The sequence below is a fragment of the Homo sapiens genome, chromosome 7 (assembly GCF_000001405.40).
Source record: "Homo sapiens chromosome 7, GRCh38.p14 Primary Assembly".
NCBI lineage: Eukaryota > Metazoa > Chordata > Mammalia > Primates > Hominidae > Homo > Homo sapiens.
Genome location: NC_000007.14, coordinates 84,696,705 through 84,714,508, shown reverse-complemented (window position 1 = coordinate 84,714,508; position 17,804 = coordinate 84,696,705). Strand labels below are relative to the sequence as shown.

At 33.2% G+C, this 17,804-nt stretch overlaps 2 annotated features.

The window, feature by feature from the left end:
- Positions 16,627 to 16,796: an enhancer, noted in NCBI's record as "experimental_100510 CRE fragment used in MPRA reporter constructs". NCBI's record gives its function as "activates a minimal promoter by MPRAs in K562 erythroleukemia cells, with activity observed for the introgressed 7:84327114 variant allele {active_cell/tissue: K562}" and the evidence as "EXISTENCE:reporter gene assay evidence [ECO:0000049][PMID:34662402]".
- Positions 17,048 to 17,217: an enhancer, noted in NCBI's record as "experimental_100503 CRE fragment used in MPRA reporter constructs". NCBI's record gives its function as "activates a minimal promoter by MPRAs in K562 erythroleukemia cells, with activity observed for the non-introgressed 7:84326693 variant allele {active_cell/tissue: K562}" and the evidence as "EXISTENCE:reporter gene assay evidence [ECO:0000049][PMID:34662402]".

Genomic DNA, 17,804 nt, shown 5'->3' with positions numbered 1-17,804 from the left:
GAAACATGGTGCTTTATCTTAATACTGTCATCCTGTCCTTTTATTCATCATATGTATAAAGGTATCCAAAATAAAACAAAACACTTAAGAAAAAATGCTTTAAGTAGAAATATATTTATTTTATACTCACTTTTAGGAAAAAAATTGATAGGGGAGATTTGGCTATTATATACACATATTTCTTCTATATTTTTTATAGACACAATTTCTAGATTTTACTGGTACCTGTAAATGTAAAGTTAACATATATGTGGAAATATATGTTTACTTTTGTGTATGTATATCACCTATATTTATGGAAGGAAGTGATATTCACTTAATGTATTAATGACATAGTTTAGGTATTATTGAAGTATGAAAAAGATACCATCGTTAACTAAAGATTTATGCTTTCTTTTAGAAAGTTTAAAATGGTATTAAACATTGCTACATGAATCATTTATTCATGGATTAAGTAGATCTATTAATAAAAATGCCTTATAGGTTAATACAATTTACAGATGTAAATATTTTCACAAACTGAATCTCATTTGACCCTCTCAATGACATTTAACCTTCAGAAGGCTTGTAGTTATTATTTTCCCTAATTTAGAGTTGAAGATAAATGAATTTTATAATAGCTTAGATGATTAATAAGTGATGAAGTATCCAAATTCAGTTTTTCTGACTCACTAACCTGATATTTTGTCTAATGTATAATGCCACTTTTTGTTAAAAAGAGCATCATTTAAATATGTGATGTTCTGATACTTTGCAGTCAGCAAGTCTTCCATAAAATGTCACCTTAGGTTTGCAGTCAGTAAGGCTTGATGGATAAAACTGTTGTATCTTAAGAAGTAATTGACATCTTCCTAAGTATATAATAATAAATGTCCTATTATACTTCCTCTGACATTTTTGTGCAAATATATATATTGTTTAAATTTTAATTACTAATTAAAAATTATATATACATATTCACTGTGTACAACATGATGTTTTGAAATATGTATACATTGTAGAATGGCTAAATTGAGCTAATTAACATAGGTATTAGCTCATATAATTATCATATTTTACGATGAGATATTCAAATATATTTTCAGAATTCTGATAGTAAGGAACCAAAAGAGTAGAAAAGCAAGAGCTCATTCCGAAGAAATCTTTATTTTGAAACAAAATAACTTGCTTTTGTATTTTCACAAAAAAATATTTTGTCTTTATAGATTATTCACAGACTGGTAGGAAAAATAGCCCTACTTTTTTGGGGAGAGGCGGGGGCTAACTTTATGACTCAAGTGAAACCATTCAGAAACTATAACACGGTCCATATGCTTGGCTTTTTGAAGTCTGCTTAGTACTCCATTAGGGATTCTCAATTTGTACCTCTCAATCTGATTTCGATAAGATGCAGGTTCCCTTCAGCGAGGTGACCTGGTGCAAACACGCAATGGATTAATTCCATAATAAATTATGGGGGCAATAAAGCTTTCTAGACCAGTTTGCCTCTTAAGTAACAATCTTTTATGTCGCCTTATAAAACTGAACTTATGTTTTATTTGTAAGTCATTCTGGGCATAATAAACTGTTTGAATTTTGGGCACTTAGTTTTAGGGTGGAGCACATACTTTCCTGGTGCATTGTTTTATGATGGCTCTGGAGCTACTTATTAGTCAAAGCACCTGAAAGTTCCTTGAGGATACTAACATTTAGTCAAAATAACATCACACCTAAAGGTGCATGGAAATATGGACTTCATATAATTCTGAACTCCAGCTGTTTTTCATCTATTTCTGTTTCTATTTATTTTATATATAGAGAAAGCCCAACATTTGCCATCCAGTGTTGCATGAGATCACTTTGCTTCAGTTTTGTATGAAGTTATATTGCATAGAATATGCACTTATGCTTTTTATAAGATTGATTTTAGGGTGGGTAAGCTCCTTCAGGCAAATAAACAAAAATGTGAATTATTTCATCATATTCTGATGAACACTCCGGGTGGCAAACTGCCCAGAATACTAATTCTTGCTCTTCTTGTGAAAATTGTTTATTTGTTGTACTTCTTAATACCCTTTTTGTACCACTGCATATTGTTACCTTAATCACCAAAGGGTCTTTTATTTTGCTCAGTTTTGAATTTTCTGTGGCCAAATGTACCATGGATAGTAATCTCTGTTCTAGAAATTTATAAAAGCAAACCAATGAGAAAATTTAGTTCCTCTCCTATCTTCCCTATGTGGGTGGATTATTTTAAAAGAAATCTGGGTATATTGTGCTTAAATATCTTTTTTAATTTCCCAAATTAGTGGATCTGTTTCCCATATATTGAATCAGTAAATTTAGACATAATTTGGAAATTATTATAGAAAAGGTTAAATGCATTTAACACCTATGAACTCATGGCAGAAATAGCCTATTCATAGTGAATGAACCAACTTTATTCACAGATGAAGTGTGGAAAAAGAAAAAAGAAAGAAAGAGATTCACAGGCAGGCACGTTCAAATTCACGTCTACCACTCTAGACTTAGCTTCTCTTCTATCTGGGAAATGGAGAGTCAGTTAAAAACATCATCTTCTTTCCACATAGCATCTTTCATTGAAAATATTCAGTATAAAATGGCAGTTCTGTCCTCAAGGAATGAGCAGACTACTTTCTTTTGTGTGTTCTATCTCTCCAGCTTCATATAGTGTTTGTGAAGATGAAATAAAATTGTAAATCAAAATGCTTCAAAATTTATAATGCAATAGATAAATGGAAAGAATAAAGATATCGAGATGATATTAATTCAGGTCAACTTAATTCATTTAATTCAGATTCTTATTATTCACTGAATATATTACATTGCTATAGTTTCTGATAATGACCATAAGCAGAGACAAGTACATCACCTTACATCACAACCAAGGACAAGGGGGGATGCTAGGCCTGATCAAAGAAATAGCACTAATTAAGCATGTTCCATAGGCAGTAAGCTTTTTATGGGCCAAACCGTGTGGCTTTTAGGCTTTCACATTGGCTTCTCAGTGGTATAGTCTTTGTAAACTACCAGACTATGCACTAGTTTCCTAGGACTGCCATAACAAATTATTAATACAACAAACTGGGTAGCTTTAAACAATAGAAATTGATTTTCTCGCACTCCTGGAGGCTAGGTGTCTGCAATCAAAGTGTTGGTGGAGTCTTCTTCCCTCCAAAGGCTTTAAGAAAGAATGCTACCATGTCTCATTTAGTGTCTGGTGGTTGGCAGCAATTCTTGATGTCCCTTGGCTTGTGGCAGCTTAACTCCAATTTCTGCCTCTGGTCCTGACATAGCTATCTTACCCCTGTACGTCTGATTTGCCTGTGTCCAAAGTACCCTCTTTTTTTTTTTTTTTTCCTCTCTCTCCTTTTTTCCTTTATTCTCTTGTTCTTCTCTGTTCTTTTTTTTTTTTTTTTTTAATTATACTTTAAGTTTTAGGGTACATGTGCACATTGTGCAGGTTAGTTACATATGTATACATGTGCCGTGCTGGTGTGCTGCACCCACTAACTCGTCATCTAGCATTAGGTATATCTCCCAATGCTATCCCTCCCCCCTCCCCCCTCCCCACCACAGTCCCCAGAGTGTGATATTCCCCTTCCTGTGTCCATGTGATCTCATTGTTCAATTCCCACCTATGAGTGAGAATATGCGGTGTTTGGTTTTTTGTTCCTGCGATAGTTTACTGAGAATGATGGTTTCCAATTTCATCCATGTCCCTACAAAGGACATGAACTCATCATTTTTTATGGCTGTATAGTATTCCATGATGTATATGTGCCACATTTTCTTAATCCAGTCTATCATTGTTGGACATTTGGGTTGGTTCCAAGTCTTTGCTATTGTGCTATTCACAATAGTAAAGTACCCTCTTTTAAAGACAGCAGTCGTTGGACTTAGAGCCCAGACTGAGCCAGTATGATCTCATCTTACTTTGGTTACCTCTACAAAGATCCCATTTCCAAATAAGGTCACATTCATCGGTTCTGGTGTTTAGAACTTCAACATGTCTTTTTTTGGGTAACACAATTCAATGCACAAAGAAATTATAAAATTCAAAATTTGTATGTGTTTTTAGATGGGAAGCATCAATGTAGGCGATTTGAAGCCTGCTCTTAGAATTTAGGCCTTCCTTTAAGGAAAAAAAAAAAAAATCCTTCAAACAGTTTAGCCAGACATATTAGGTTTTCATCTGGGATTCATGATCCAGAGTAATAAAGATAATTCATGTGTAAGTCTTTGTCCTATGTATATCAGTTTTAATAGAAACATTATAAAATGACAAATACCCAGTTCATAATGGAACCAGGAGTAATCCTGTGTCCTGGCTGTCTGTGTTACAATTTTTTTCTTATTCTTCAAACTTGGTAAACCTCCAAATAGGGTATTGGAAGACAGACCAAACCAAAAAGTGATCTCCATTATTTTTATATTTCACGGGTTTTTAAAAATCATTTATTTATTTATTTTTAATAGAAATGAGGGTCTCATGATGTTGCCCAGGCTGGTCTGGAACTTTAGGGCTCGAGTGATTCTCCCGCTTCAGGCTCCCAAATTGCTGGGATTACAGGATACTTAATGCTTTTAAGTTAAAAATTATCACAAAAATTTTACTCTCACACTGTGTTCATCATAATTATTATATCTTAATTGTTACAATTTCTTCATTAATACATGCTTTCAAAAATAGGTAAAATGATGTGTCATAAAAAAACTATCATCTTGTTCAGAAAACATTACATTAATATGATACTCATATTATATTGCTTACAGAATACCAACACAAAGTTCATTTTTTGGCCAATGTTTTGTTTTAAAAAATAATTCTGATAGGTGGAAAAGCATAAAAACTAAAGAAAACATGATTTAATATACTTGTCCAATAGAAATTTTTATGCTATTGAAAATATTTAAATCTGCAGTGTTAACTATGATAGCCATTATAGTAATATATTAATGTTAATATAATGAAACTTTGTCATATTCATCTTTTAATTAGTATGTGTTTGTAACTTAATTAACACTTTACAGTGTGCATTTAAAAATATGAGTAAGTAAATTTAGGCTTATGGTTGTAAATTTTTAGGTTTCACAGAATCAAAACATAGTAATATGAGACCTTTTTGTCCAGTTATTTGTGAGAATTTTAAATGATTATTCTTGCACAGTACTACATTTTATACAACTAGTTTAATTCAAGAGTTTGTAAGTTAAGTCTAATATAACATAATTCAATATAGTAATGGCCAGATAATATATATCTACTAAGCACTTGAAATGCATCTAGTACAAATGAGGAATTGTATTTTATATTTTATGTTTTATTTAGTTTAAATTAAAATAGCCATATATGAATAGTGGTCAGGATACTGGATATCATAGTTCTATTAGATTTGCATAAAGCTAAAGGGATATGACTGTGCCTTGGAATATTCCACTCTTTAGGTCTCCAGATGGGTCCAGTGCAGCAATGTTCACAAAGTTTTTTAAAAATTAGAAAAAATAATTTATCTTTGATCATGATTGTTAAATTTCTTTCTTGAACTAACAAAGGAAGCATTGAAGTGAGTGGAATAAGAGGGAAAATGATGAATTCTTTGGCTATATCAAATTCATTAAAGAATGAAATTTGTTCTGGCACAATTACTATGTACTTTATAGCTCATTTAACTAACTGCTCATTATCCCATGAAATGGAAAAGCATCTTGGTGCTCAAATCCATCTGGCTGACAAAAGGTCACTGAAGACTTCTTAGAAAGCCAAGTGAAACTGATTATTTCCTAACAAATCAATGCTTACACCCAAAATTCCACTCACATACAAAGTGTCAACTGTCACCATTTTTGGTATATTCAGCAAAGTAATATTTAAAAGAAAAATTTATAAGTGAGTCATTTTCAGCCACAAGGGGTTTGTTTTATTATTACTGCTTTTTGATATATAGCTAATGTGTAAAAAATAAAATTTTCTGTTTTTCTTACCTCCAGACTATGGCAGAAACTGTGTCATAATCATTTTAATGAATATGTGTTTTCAACTTAAGACTTTACAGTATGCACTTAAAAATATGAATAAGTAAATTTAGGCTTATGTTTGTAGTTTTTTAGGTTTCACATAATCAAAACATAGTAACAATTAGACCATTTTGTCCAGTTATTTGTGAGAATTTTAAATGCTTATTCCTGCACAGCACTACATTTTATACAACCAGTTTAATTCAAGAGTTTGCAAGTTGAATCTTTCCTGTAGGTCTTTCTTCATGCTGTATTTGCTTCTTGAAGTTTCTTTATTTTTATTTTTATTTTTATTTTTTTATTATACTTTAAGTTCTAGGGTACATGTGCACATTGTGCAGGTTAGTTACATATGTATACATGTGCCATGCTGGTGCGCTGCACCCACTAACTCGTCATCTAGCATTAGGTATATCTCTCAGTGCTATCCCTCCCCCCTCCCCCCACCCCACCACAGTCCCCAGAGTGTGATATTCCCCTTCCTGTGTCCATGTGATCTCATTGTTCAATTCCCACCTATGAGTGAGAATATGTGGTGTTTGGTTTTTTGTTCTTGCGATAGTTTACTGAGAATGATGATTTCCAATTTCATCCATGTCCCTACAAAGGACATGAACTCATCATTTTTTATGGCTGCATAGTATTCCATGGTGTATATGTGCCACATTTTCTTAATCCAGTCTATCATTGTTGGACATTTGGGTTGGTTCCAAGTCTTTGCTATTGTGAATAATGCTGCAGTAAACATACGTGTGCATGTGTCTTTATAGCAGCATGATTTATAGTCCTTTGGGTATATACCCAGTAATGGGATGGCTGGGTCAAATGGTACTTCCAGTTCTAGATCCCTGAGGAATCGCCACACTGACTTCCACAATGGTTGAACTAGTTTACAGTCCCACCAACAGTGTCACAATTGCTTCAAAGAGAATAAAATACCTAGGAATCCAACTTACAAGGGATATGAAGGACCTCTTCAAGGAGAACTACAAACCACTGCTCAAGGAAATAAAAGAGGATACAAACAAATGGAAGAACATTCCATGCTCATGGGTAGGAAGAATCAATATCGTGAAAATGGCCATACTGCCCAAGGTAATTTGCAGATTCAATGCCATCTCCATCAAGCTACCAATGACTTTCTTCACAGAATTGGAAAAAACTACTTTAAAGTTCATATGGAACCAAAAAAGAGCCCGTATCGCCAAGTCAATCCTAAGCCAAAAGAACAAAGCTGGAGGCATCATGCTACCTGACTTCAAACCATACTACAAGGCTACAGTAACCAAAACAGCATGGTATTGGTACCAAAACAGAGATATAGATCAATGGAACAGAACAGAGCCCTCAGAAATAACGCCGCATATCTACAACTATCTGATCTTTGACAAACCTGAGAAAAACAAGCAATGGGGAAAGGATTCCCTATTTAATAAATGGTGCTGGGAAAACTGGCTAGCCATATGTAGAAAGCTGAAACTGGATCCCTTCCTTACACCTTATACAAAAATCAATTCAAGATGGACTAAAGACTTAAATGTTAGACCTAAAACCATAAAAACCCTAGAAGAAAACCTAGGCATTACCATTCAGGACATAGGCATGGGCAAGGACTTCATGTCTAAAACACCAAAAGCAATGGCAACAAAAGACAAAATTGACAAATGGGATCTACTTAAACTAAAGAGCTTCTGCACAGCAAAAGAAACTACCATCAGAGTGAACAGGCAACCTACAAAATGGGAGAAAATTTTCGCAACCTACTCATCTGACAAAGGGCTAATATCCAGAATCTACAATGAACTCAAACAAATTTACAAGATAAAAACAAACAACCCCATCAAAAAGTGGGCAAAGGACATGAACAGACACTTCTCAAAAGAAGACATTTATGCAGCCAAAAAACACATGAAAAAATGCTCATCATCACTGGCCATCAGAGAAATGCAAATCAAAACCACAATGAGATACCATCTCACACCAGTCAGAATGGCAATCATTAAAAAGTCAGGAAACAACAGGTGCTGGAGAGGATGTGGAGAAATAGGAGCACTTGAAGTTTCTTTTTTGACTTCATTTTATAAAATAGTTCTCATATTTCCTCATCCTTTTGGCATCAGAAGACATAGGGAAAATGGCCAGGTAGGTTATAATTTAAGCCTATAAATTTAAAAACTTATTTATATTGCAGAAATATAGAAAGGTAGTTGGAGGTCTGAAATAAAACATTGAAAATGTAAGAGAAATAATTCATAAGAAATGATGAGCCGAATGTCTTATATGAGAAAAAGACATGTAGAAAATTTCATACATTTTTCATGAACTCACCAAGAGGACTTGATTGTGAAAATGCCATCCACACCATCAATTCTTCTTCACCTATATATAAAACATGATTGACTTTCATAAATTTAGTTTTCCCAATTATATTCTCAAGTTTCCTGTTTTTAATTTTTTTTTTTTTTTTTTTTTTTTTTTTGAGATAGGGTCTCACTCTCTCAGGCTGGAGTGCAGTGGCATGATCATGACTCACTACAGACTTGAACTCCTGGGCTCAAGTGATCCTGCCACCTCAGTCTCCTGGGTAGCTGGGATTACAGGTGTGAATCATCATGCTTGGGTAATTTTTAAATTTGTTTTTTATAGAAACAGGGTTTCACCATATTGGCCAGGCTGGTCTCAAACTCCTGGCGCCAAGTGATCCTCCCACTTTGGTCTCTCAAAATGTTGGAATTACAGGGATGAGACACCATGTTTCATTCAAGTTTTATTCTCCAAATATTTGTCATTTATCAATCTTTTGCCTCTCAGATCTAAACCCACCCTTCATTGCTTGCTCTATGAAAACACAGGTAATCCATTTAAACTTGTTTTTTTTTTTTTTTCACCAGCTATGCTCTGCTATGCTTTGTCAGTAGAGGATGCTTAAGAGAAATGGCAGGAGGAACGAGTTTTTCTTCCTGGTTCTGGGTTGTTTCATTGGATAGTTCTTGCATACAAGTTCCCAGCAACCAGCTCCTGTAGTGCAGATGGCTTCCCCAGTACTCAGCTCCTACAGAACATGGTGTCTGAAACCCCTCTAGTAGTCAGTAGCTTCGTACTGGAGCCTCCCCAGTATAGCACTTACTTATGAATGGCTTTTTCTGGCATGCTAAAAGGCAGCTCTCTAACAAGTTCTGCCAGTATGCCTGGTACCACAGCAATTTCTCTGTCCTTTAGTGATCACAGCAATGCCCTCTATAACAAAGTTCAGATCTCAGCCCTGACAGGGCAGGGTTCTCTTTTGCCCTGCCTTAAATACAAAAGTAATGCCTTCTCCTTTACAGCTGCTATTCCAGTATTCATTAGAGTTGTCTTTAACTCTTACTAATCTCTTCATTATTCATATATCCTGTTATAATAACTAATTCAGTATATTAGCTTTTTCCCATTCAAGTTACAGTGAGGTTTCTCTGTCTTAATTGGATCCTGATTTACACAGTGGCAGCGGTTGCCTAAAAGCCAGGCTAGTGTTGCATTTCATCTCTTTGATTTCTGCGCTAGCCAGAGAAGTGTTAATCTATTGTATTCATCTACTGACAGGTAGTGAGTTGAATAGTGTCTCCTTGAAAAGATATGTTCATGACCTCACTCCTAGAGTCTGTGAAGACCTTACTGGGGTCGGGGGTGGGGGGGTCTTTACAGATACAATTAACTTAGTGATATCAAATTAAATCATACTGGATTACCTGGGTGTTCCCTAAAACCAATGACAGCTATTCTTATGAGAATGAAGCAGAGGGAGATTAGACAGACAGAAAAGGAGGACACACGGGGAAGAAGGCTATGCTAAGACCAAGGCAGAGATCCGAGTCATGAAAAGCCAAGCCAAGGAGCACTTGGAGACACTAGAAGCTGGAAGAGGCAGGGAAGGATTCTCCTCTAATGCCTCTGGAGGGAGCATGGCCCTGCTGACAACATGATTTCAGACTTTTGGACAGATAATACCTTTCTGTTGTTTAAGACATTGTGTTTGTGGTAATTCGTTAAGCCAGGCCAAGGAAACTAACACAGACGAAACCAGAATCCCAATGAATTTGACAACATTAATGATATATTATCTAAATTCTAACTCAATACAGATAGATAACAAATGTATTTTCTTCTACCAATTGAAAATGAATTTCATGACTGCTGTTCTTTATTAAACATTCTATGTAATAATAACTAATAAATATGATAGCAATGGAATAAACTATGATAAAATTCATATTAAATATTAAAGCCAATCAAAAATGTAATGAATAATTATGATTGATGACAATGCCATTGATGATACTTATTACCTGTACTCAGTAACTGGTATGTTTTTAACCTTATATATTCCATATATAAGCTTCTTCAGAATTTTTTTTCTTTAAGTGCTATAGAATAATTTTAATTGGTAATCAAATAATACTGATACCACTAAAAATTTGAAAAGCCATAATGATAATAGTTACACTGCTGAACACTGTCTTTATAATTGTATATTTAATATTTAAACTCAAAAGGAAACCTAACAATATTAATGCATTTTATATTCATTTACCAAGAAAGGCAAGTGAAAAAATTTGAATTATTTGTAGATAATTCTCTTTCTAATAATTCCAATTTCATAGGCATTTCAGATCTAATTTCCATATTTTGTTCCTCAGAAAATTACAATATACTTAGAGCACAAAATTTATCATTTCAATAAGAAAGAAAGTTTATAATAAAGTTCTTAAGTGGGGTCCATATATTCTTGTATAAAATTGTAACAGCAAATAGAGTAGGAGCTAACCTCCTTCTAAGAATTAAAACATGGAGAAGAAAATTTACAAATTAGCCAAGTCTTAAGAACACATAACTGTGTTTTTATTGTACTTGTTATTTTCTATGTAAATAAAGAAGAGGTTTAAAACTAAAAATAATAATAATGAAGGTAGTATACTCTTAAATCCACCATGGAAATTAATACCTTTATTTCTTAATTATACCTACTTTGGGATCAGCCTAAATCCTTCCAGGTTTGAGATTTCTTATGAAGCGCAGTCTAATTTCAGCCTTCTGAAAGAATTCAGTGGGTTAGCTTTCAAGAACAAAAGGAAAAATAATTTATCTAATTATTGGAAATTCCAAGAAGAGAAAATGTCTTATGCCAAGCCTAAAATATTTATATTTTCTTGAATTAATTTATAGCTAGCAAACTCTGTCTTCCGAGTTCTCAAAAATAAATGTAGACTTAAAAATCTACTTAATTTTGTATGCTCTTTAAAACAACATTTTGATGAGTTAAATGTAAATGAATCAGAAACATATGGATAAACTCTCTTTAAAGTATTTATAGCTATAAATATATGCATAAAAGAGGAAACTAAATACTTTGCAAAATATAGTTTGGGCTTGCCACACAATCATTTGATAATTACTTGAGTTATTTATCATCAGTGAACAGGACTGCTTCCTCCTTCCAGAATTGCTTTGAATGTGGTGAAAATATTTTGTGGAAATTAGTAGAACCTATTAGAGGAAATCCTTAGTTCCCTCTGCCTAGATTGATAACATTTCAAATGAACCAACAATATTTAGCCATAAATAATTATCACACATATGGGAAATTAATTGTATTTTTTTATCTTAATTATCCACTTCAGTAATCATTAAAGTTATATATGATAATATTGCAGCAATAACATTTGGAATATAGAAAAGTATATCAACAAGATTGAGGGTAAATGTTGATATTTCTCTAAGAGGGGATAAAAATCATTATAATTTGGAGGAATGAAAACACATAATTGCTATTAAGCACTTTATACAATTGTATAAAGAGTCAAAAATTTACATTTTATTAGTCTACAGTATATTTATATTCTATTAAATAATTATTAATTTTTGTTTTTTTCAAATCTACCTACATTTGGATGTTTGAAGACCTTAGCACAGCATAATGTTACTAAGTGGTAGATACTTAGACATGTAAACCATTATTAATATTTGTTCATTGTAATGGTTAATTTTGGGTGTCAATTTGACTGAATTAAGGGATAAGCAGGTAGCTGGTGAAGCATTATTTATTCTCAATAATTGCATTAATTATTCTCCATGCCTCAGTAGGCACTGAACCTGTGCCTCTCTGTTGAAAAGGAAACCCAGGTGACTTGGCATTTGATTAAAATAATTAGGTTGCCCCAAGTATGTCTATGAGGGTGTTTCTGGAGGAAACTGGCACTTAAGCCTGGCTGAGTAGGATCCACCCTCAGTCTGGGCAGGCACTAAGCAATCAAGTCTGGATGAACAAAAGGGCAAATGAAGGGTGAGTTATTGCTCTGTTTCTTTTGAAGCTGGGACCCATTTCTTCTGCCCTCGGATATCAGATTTCCAGATTGTTTGGCTTTTGGACTCTGGGACTTTGACCAGCAGCCTCCATGCCCTAGGACTTGAGGACTTGGTCTGAGTCATGCTACTGGCTTCCCTGGTTCTCAGCTGTAAATGACGTGTTACGAGACTTAATCTCCGTAATCAAGTGAACTAGTTCCCTTAAGAATTTCCTTCTCATATATTTATTTTTCTCTCCCTACATGTATGTATATTATTGTTTCTGTCTTTCTAAAGAACCTTGACTAAAACATTAATGAAAGGTACATTTCTCTGCCTCACAGTTTTTACTTTTTGGTTCATACATTACAAAATCCTACCTTTAGATTTAATTAATATGGCTTTTTTTTTTTCAAATTTCTTGAACATATTTCATCACATATTAGTTAAAAGGAAGTTTTTATTTTGGGGGGGTATAATCTGCTTTATGAGCCATACAAATTAGCGTGTCATGAGTCATACTTTCCACCAAGCATTTCAAGTGTGAAGAGGCATCCAAATTCAACACAGAACTGTTGCCATGGTATACGTTTCCCGTCTTCTTCCTTGGTCTACATAGGATTCAACTACTCAGGCATTTTTAGGACATTAATTGAAGGGGATAACAATAATACCTCTATCAATCCTTAAACACTCGCTTTTGGCCGGGCACTGTGCTGTCTGCTTTATGTTTTTGTTTATGGTAATTACATTTTCTTATTTCTTATTTCATTAAACAATTCTAATATTTCCTTACACTGTAAAGATAGACTGACACAAAATCATAAACATTCCTGGATATAAATTTTAATCAAAATTCAAAGTGTTTCTTGTTCAGTGGTTTCTGTCTAAATTTTTGGATAATCACACTAGAGTTCAATATGTTTCCTATATAATCTGACAATAGTGCTTATGTCTCTGTCCTCACACAGCTGCACTGTGATTCAGACAACCTGAGTCACAGACCCTCTATGAAAATTATTGTTTATGAAATACAAAATTTAAAAAACAGTGATGAACAAATTATTGAATAAAAAAGGTGTGAATTCATAAACATCAAAGACACAATTGCTTTCAATTTAAGGCTTTGTTCAGAGTCATGTTTCAAGAAAGACATAGTTTCCAAAATATCCAGTTTTAGTTATGAATCATATAATCAAAAATGCATGATGTTGGTCAAAGCATATAAAGTTTCAATTATGCAGTATGAATAAATTCTGGAGATGTAATGTATAGCATGGTGACTATAGCTAATAGTAGTGTATTTTTTACTTGGGGATTTGCCGAGAGAGTAGGTCTAAAATGTTCTCAGCTAAAAAATTAAAAAGTAACTATGTGAGGTGATGGATATGTTAATTAGCTTGATTGTGGTATTCATTTCGCAATGTACACTTATATCAAAACATCACATTGTATACCTTAAATATTTACAATTTTGACTTGTCAGTCATACTTTAACAAAGCTGGAAAAATGTATGGTGCTCTACACCTCTACACTGTGATGAAAACATGTTTCAAAAATCAATAATTGTGCTTATTAACATATTGGAAAGTAATGGTTGATGATCGTCTATTTGCTCATCCTCCAGGTATAATTGAAAGTCAATAAATCCAGTAATCTCAAGGTCTTTTAAAATTCTGAGGTTTTTTTTTTAAGGCTTACACTGATTGAACAGTTATTGCATTTTTATATTCTATCTTCCAAATAAATGGGTGAATTGATTCTGTTTAGAAGATAATCCCTTTATCTTTTACTTCAATCACCTTAGAAAATGAAAGAAATAAGAAAACAAGGACTGCAAACTAACATCCTCTTGGTATTTTAAAATCAGAAAAGTATTATGTTGTACTACAAAGAAGGTACCCAATGATATACTGTATTCTTGAAAAATAATAAGACAGTGGATACTAAGTGTCCTCACCACAAAATGATAATTATGTAAGGTAATGCATATGTTAATTAGCTAGATTTAGCTATTCCACAATGCATATATACTTCAGAACATTATGCTCTACAAAATGAGTACAATTTTATCTGTCAATATAAATGAATAAATTTGAACATTCTAAAAAAAAGTTACACAATGACTAATGAAAATGAGGTAATATAATCTTCCATGTCGTTCCTATGCCATTAATTTTAGTTTTGTTTGTTTGTTTGTTTATTTTTTTAATAGACAGAGTGTTGCTCTGTTTCCCAGGCTGGAGTACAGTGGTATGATTAGTGGCTTTTTTACTTATTTTTTGTAGAGACTGAGTCTCACTTTCTTGTCCAGGCTGGTCTCCAACTCCTGGCCTCAAGTGATCCTTTCACCTCAGACTCCCAAAGTGCTGGGATTGCAGGCATGAGCCTCTGCACCCAGCCCCATCAATTTGAAGAATGTAGGATATGGCTCAGTAGTTGTGATTTAACTTGGGCAGATTTTGTGAAGATAGGAACTTTACAGGTAAAACTATATCTGTTTTCCTTCAGTGAATTGACTTTTTAAAGCCATCTATTATTCAGTAAATCAATACATAAGTAAATAAAAACTATTTATAGCTATACAAAATAGTTATGTTATTGAATCACATTGTTAATTATAGCAATAATTACCCATTCATCCAACAATTTTCAGAGCTGACCATATTTAATTCTTGAATGTAATCTTTCATCTCTGAGGTACATATAATTTTCACATTATTGTAAAAAATAAATTCTGGGAGAAGAAACAGCATGCTGCTTGTCAGGGCCAGGTCTCTTCTATTAAATAATAAATACATTATCTATTTTAAATGATTTATTTAGTAAATTTTATTTAGCTTTTTATTAGGAGTTTTAAAGTAATCTATAAAATAGGTTAAAATCTTAGAAAAATTTGCTTGATTTTGATTTTTTTCCTTTGGTTTAGTAATTAGTGAGTTTGCTTATAATATAAAAGGCTTTTCCTTATGTCATATGTAACCCTAGATAGCAAAGGTTCTGTGGTTTACCAGGGCAATTTTATGCAGTCTTTGTTGATTTTATTACATTCATTTTTTTTAAGAGAACAAATATTCCTCCTTCATTTATAAAATAGCTAATTTCTTTACAATCCTGATAACTTATGTGTTTATTTTAAACTATTTTATTTTCATTTACTTAAATACATAACAAGCATTGTTTTTCTGGCACTTGATATTTTATCTTTATTGAGTTTAAATACACTCTGAAAACTTCATTTTGCCTTCCAAAATTGGATCCTAAATTTTTTAAAAGTAAAATAAAATTTTAAATATATGTTTCATGCTTAAAACAGGAAAATCATAAAGTATTTTATTCTTTCATATTATAGAAAGAGACATAGTTGAAATAATTAGGGTGTTTGATATATTATCATTTTAAGGGTTTCCATGGAAGAGTTCCCAAATATGAAGACAGTCAGCCTGCTTTAGGTTAAGTTTACATAGGTAAAATATTATTAATAAATATTTTTGGCTTTAGGTCAAATGTATATAGGTAAAATATTGTTACTATGAATACTTTTGAAATTGTATGTTTTTTGAGAACTTTCTAGAGATATTTAAATGCCCATGCACTCCATCATGTGTATTTATCCACAGATAACACACTGATCAAAACTAAGTCCAAGATAGTCCGTTGTTTTCCTGTATTTATTAGAGTCCTGGCAGTGCTTTGTTAAATTATATTAGAAATAATAGTACAGTGTTATCAATCAAAATGTCAGTTATACAAAATATTTACTAACCACAACTCAACTTCTTCCATTTGAATTTTGCACCTTCTAGGTCACTGGGGATGTGCATCAGACTTACCCATGAAGTTTTATAAAAATACAGGTAGCTAGGCCTACTCTAGCCTTACTGAGTCTCTCTCTGATACTCTTGATATATTTAAAAGTTATGTTTCAGAATATTTCATATCTCAATATATAGTTTTTCCATCAAAGTTATACTCATCAATTTTAATACATCAGATATAAAATTCAATGAGGTCTTTGAAAATATACTTGATCATTATTCTTAGAGACACTTTGTCTAATTTTTTTTGGAATGGCTTTAGTATCTTTGTTGTGCATGCCACAGAAGAAAACAAATTTTCTTGTTGATTGCATTATTCTTATTATGATCGCTCATCAGGCATTCCATATTTTAAAATTAACAGTAATAAATTAGTATAGTCATTAAATTCTTGTTATCTACAGATGGTTTTAATTTAACTCTGATACTTGCCTGAAAGTTCTGTATATATGCTACACAACAGTTTGTGTCTCTCACAAAAAAAAAAAAAAATGACAGTGTCAGATCCTCATGGGAAGGGACTATAGTAGGTGATTTAAACTTTGGTACTATAAAAGTATGTGTTTAGGTATAAGCTTCAGTGGGTCTCCGTGGGTACAGGTTTCTGAGCTTGCAACACTTAGATGACTTTCACATTACGCCAGTGGACTGAGTCAGAATTTCAAGGCTCCTTTTTATCTAGAAGCAGACAGCTTTTATAAAAACAAACTATTGAACCAAGATGATTCAGAACAAGAATTAATTACATAGTATGAATTAACTCATAAATGGAATTTATTATAGTTAGTTCCTTGTAGCCATGTTGACTTTGATTTAGTGTTCTATTTTCTGGTTCTATGAAAAATAATTTTGTCTGCCTTATCACACTTTTATTAACAATTCAGAAGCTCTGTTTTTGTAAAATAAAACATTTTAAATAATATCAGATTCTCACTGATTCCCACACAATTCAGAAACTCTAAGTTTTGTTACTTTTCATGGCAATTAGGTTAATGAGAATCTATTCTCCTTTTAGTCAGGATGTTTTCTGAGCAAACTGATGAGTATAATGCCCATTTATTTAAAAGGGTCTGACTCTGATGTCACCAAGATAGTGGAATAGAATATACCAGCCTCATCCCCCTGCAAGCAAATACATACAGCAATTCACAAAACAGAATATCTCAAAGAGGGCTCAAAGGTCCGTAAGGAATCTGAAACAACACAATAGAGCAAGCATATTGATAAAATCTACATAGTAGGGTTCTTGGTAAGATTGGCATACCTCAGAGAGCAGGAGATAGCAAGGAGCAAAGAAGAAAGGTGAAGGTTATCAATATTAACCATACTTGGGAAACATTGCAGTCCCAAGTAGCCTGTTTTCATAGAGGATACCAGCATTGCTTGCCACTGAGGTGACCAATAGCCATTCCTATGGAGGAACTCAAGTACAAGACATAGCTATACACTCTTCTACCTCACATAGTAGCTACTCTTCTGCCCCTTCAAAAAAGGAGCCACCATGTCTCGCAACCCTGCATGTGCCCTGACCTCAGAGCTATGACCATCTGTGAGTGTCCACATGCCAGACTATGAAAAAATAGAAACTGGGGACTAATAGGGAGCAGGGAAGAAGGGGGTCAAAGGCTGTAAAACTGTGTTGTGTA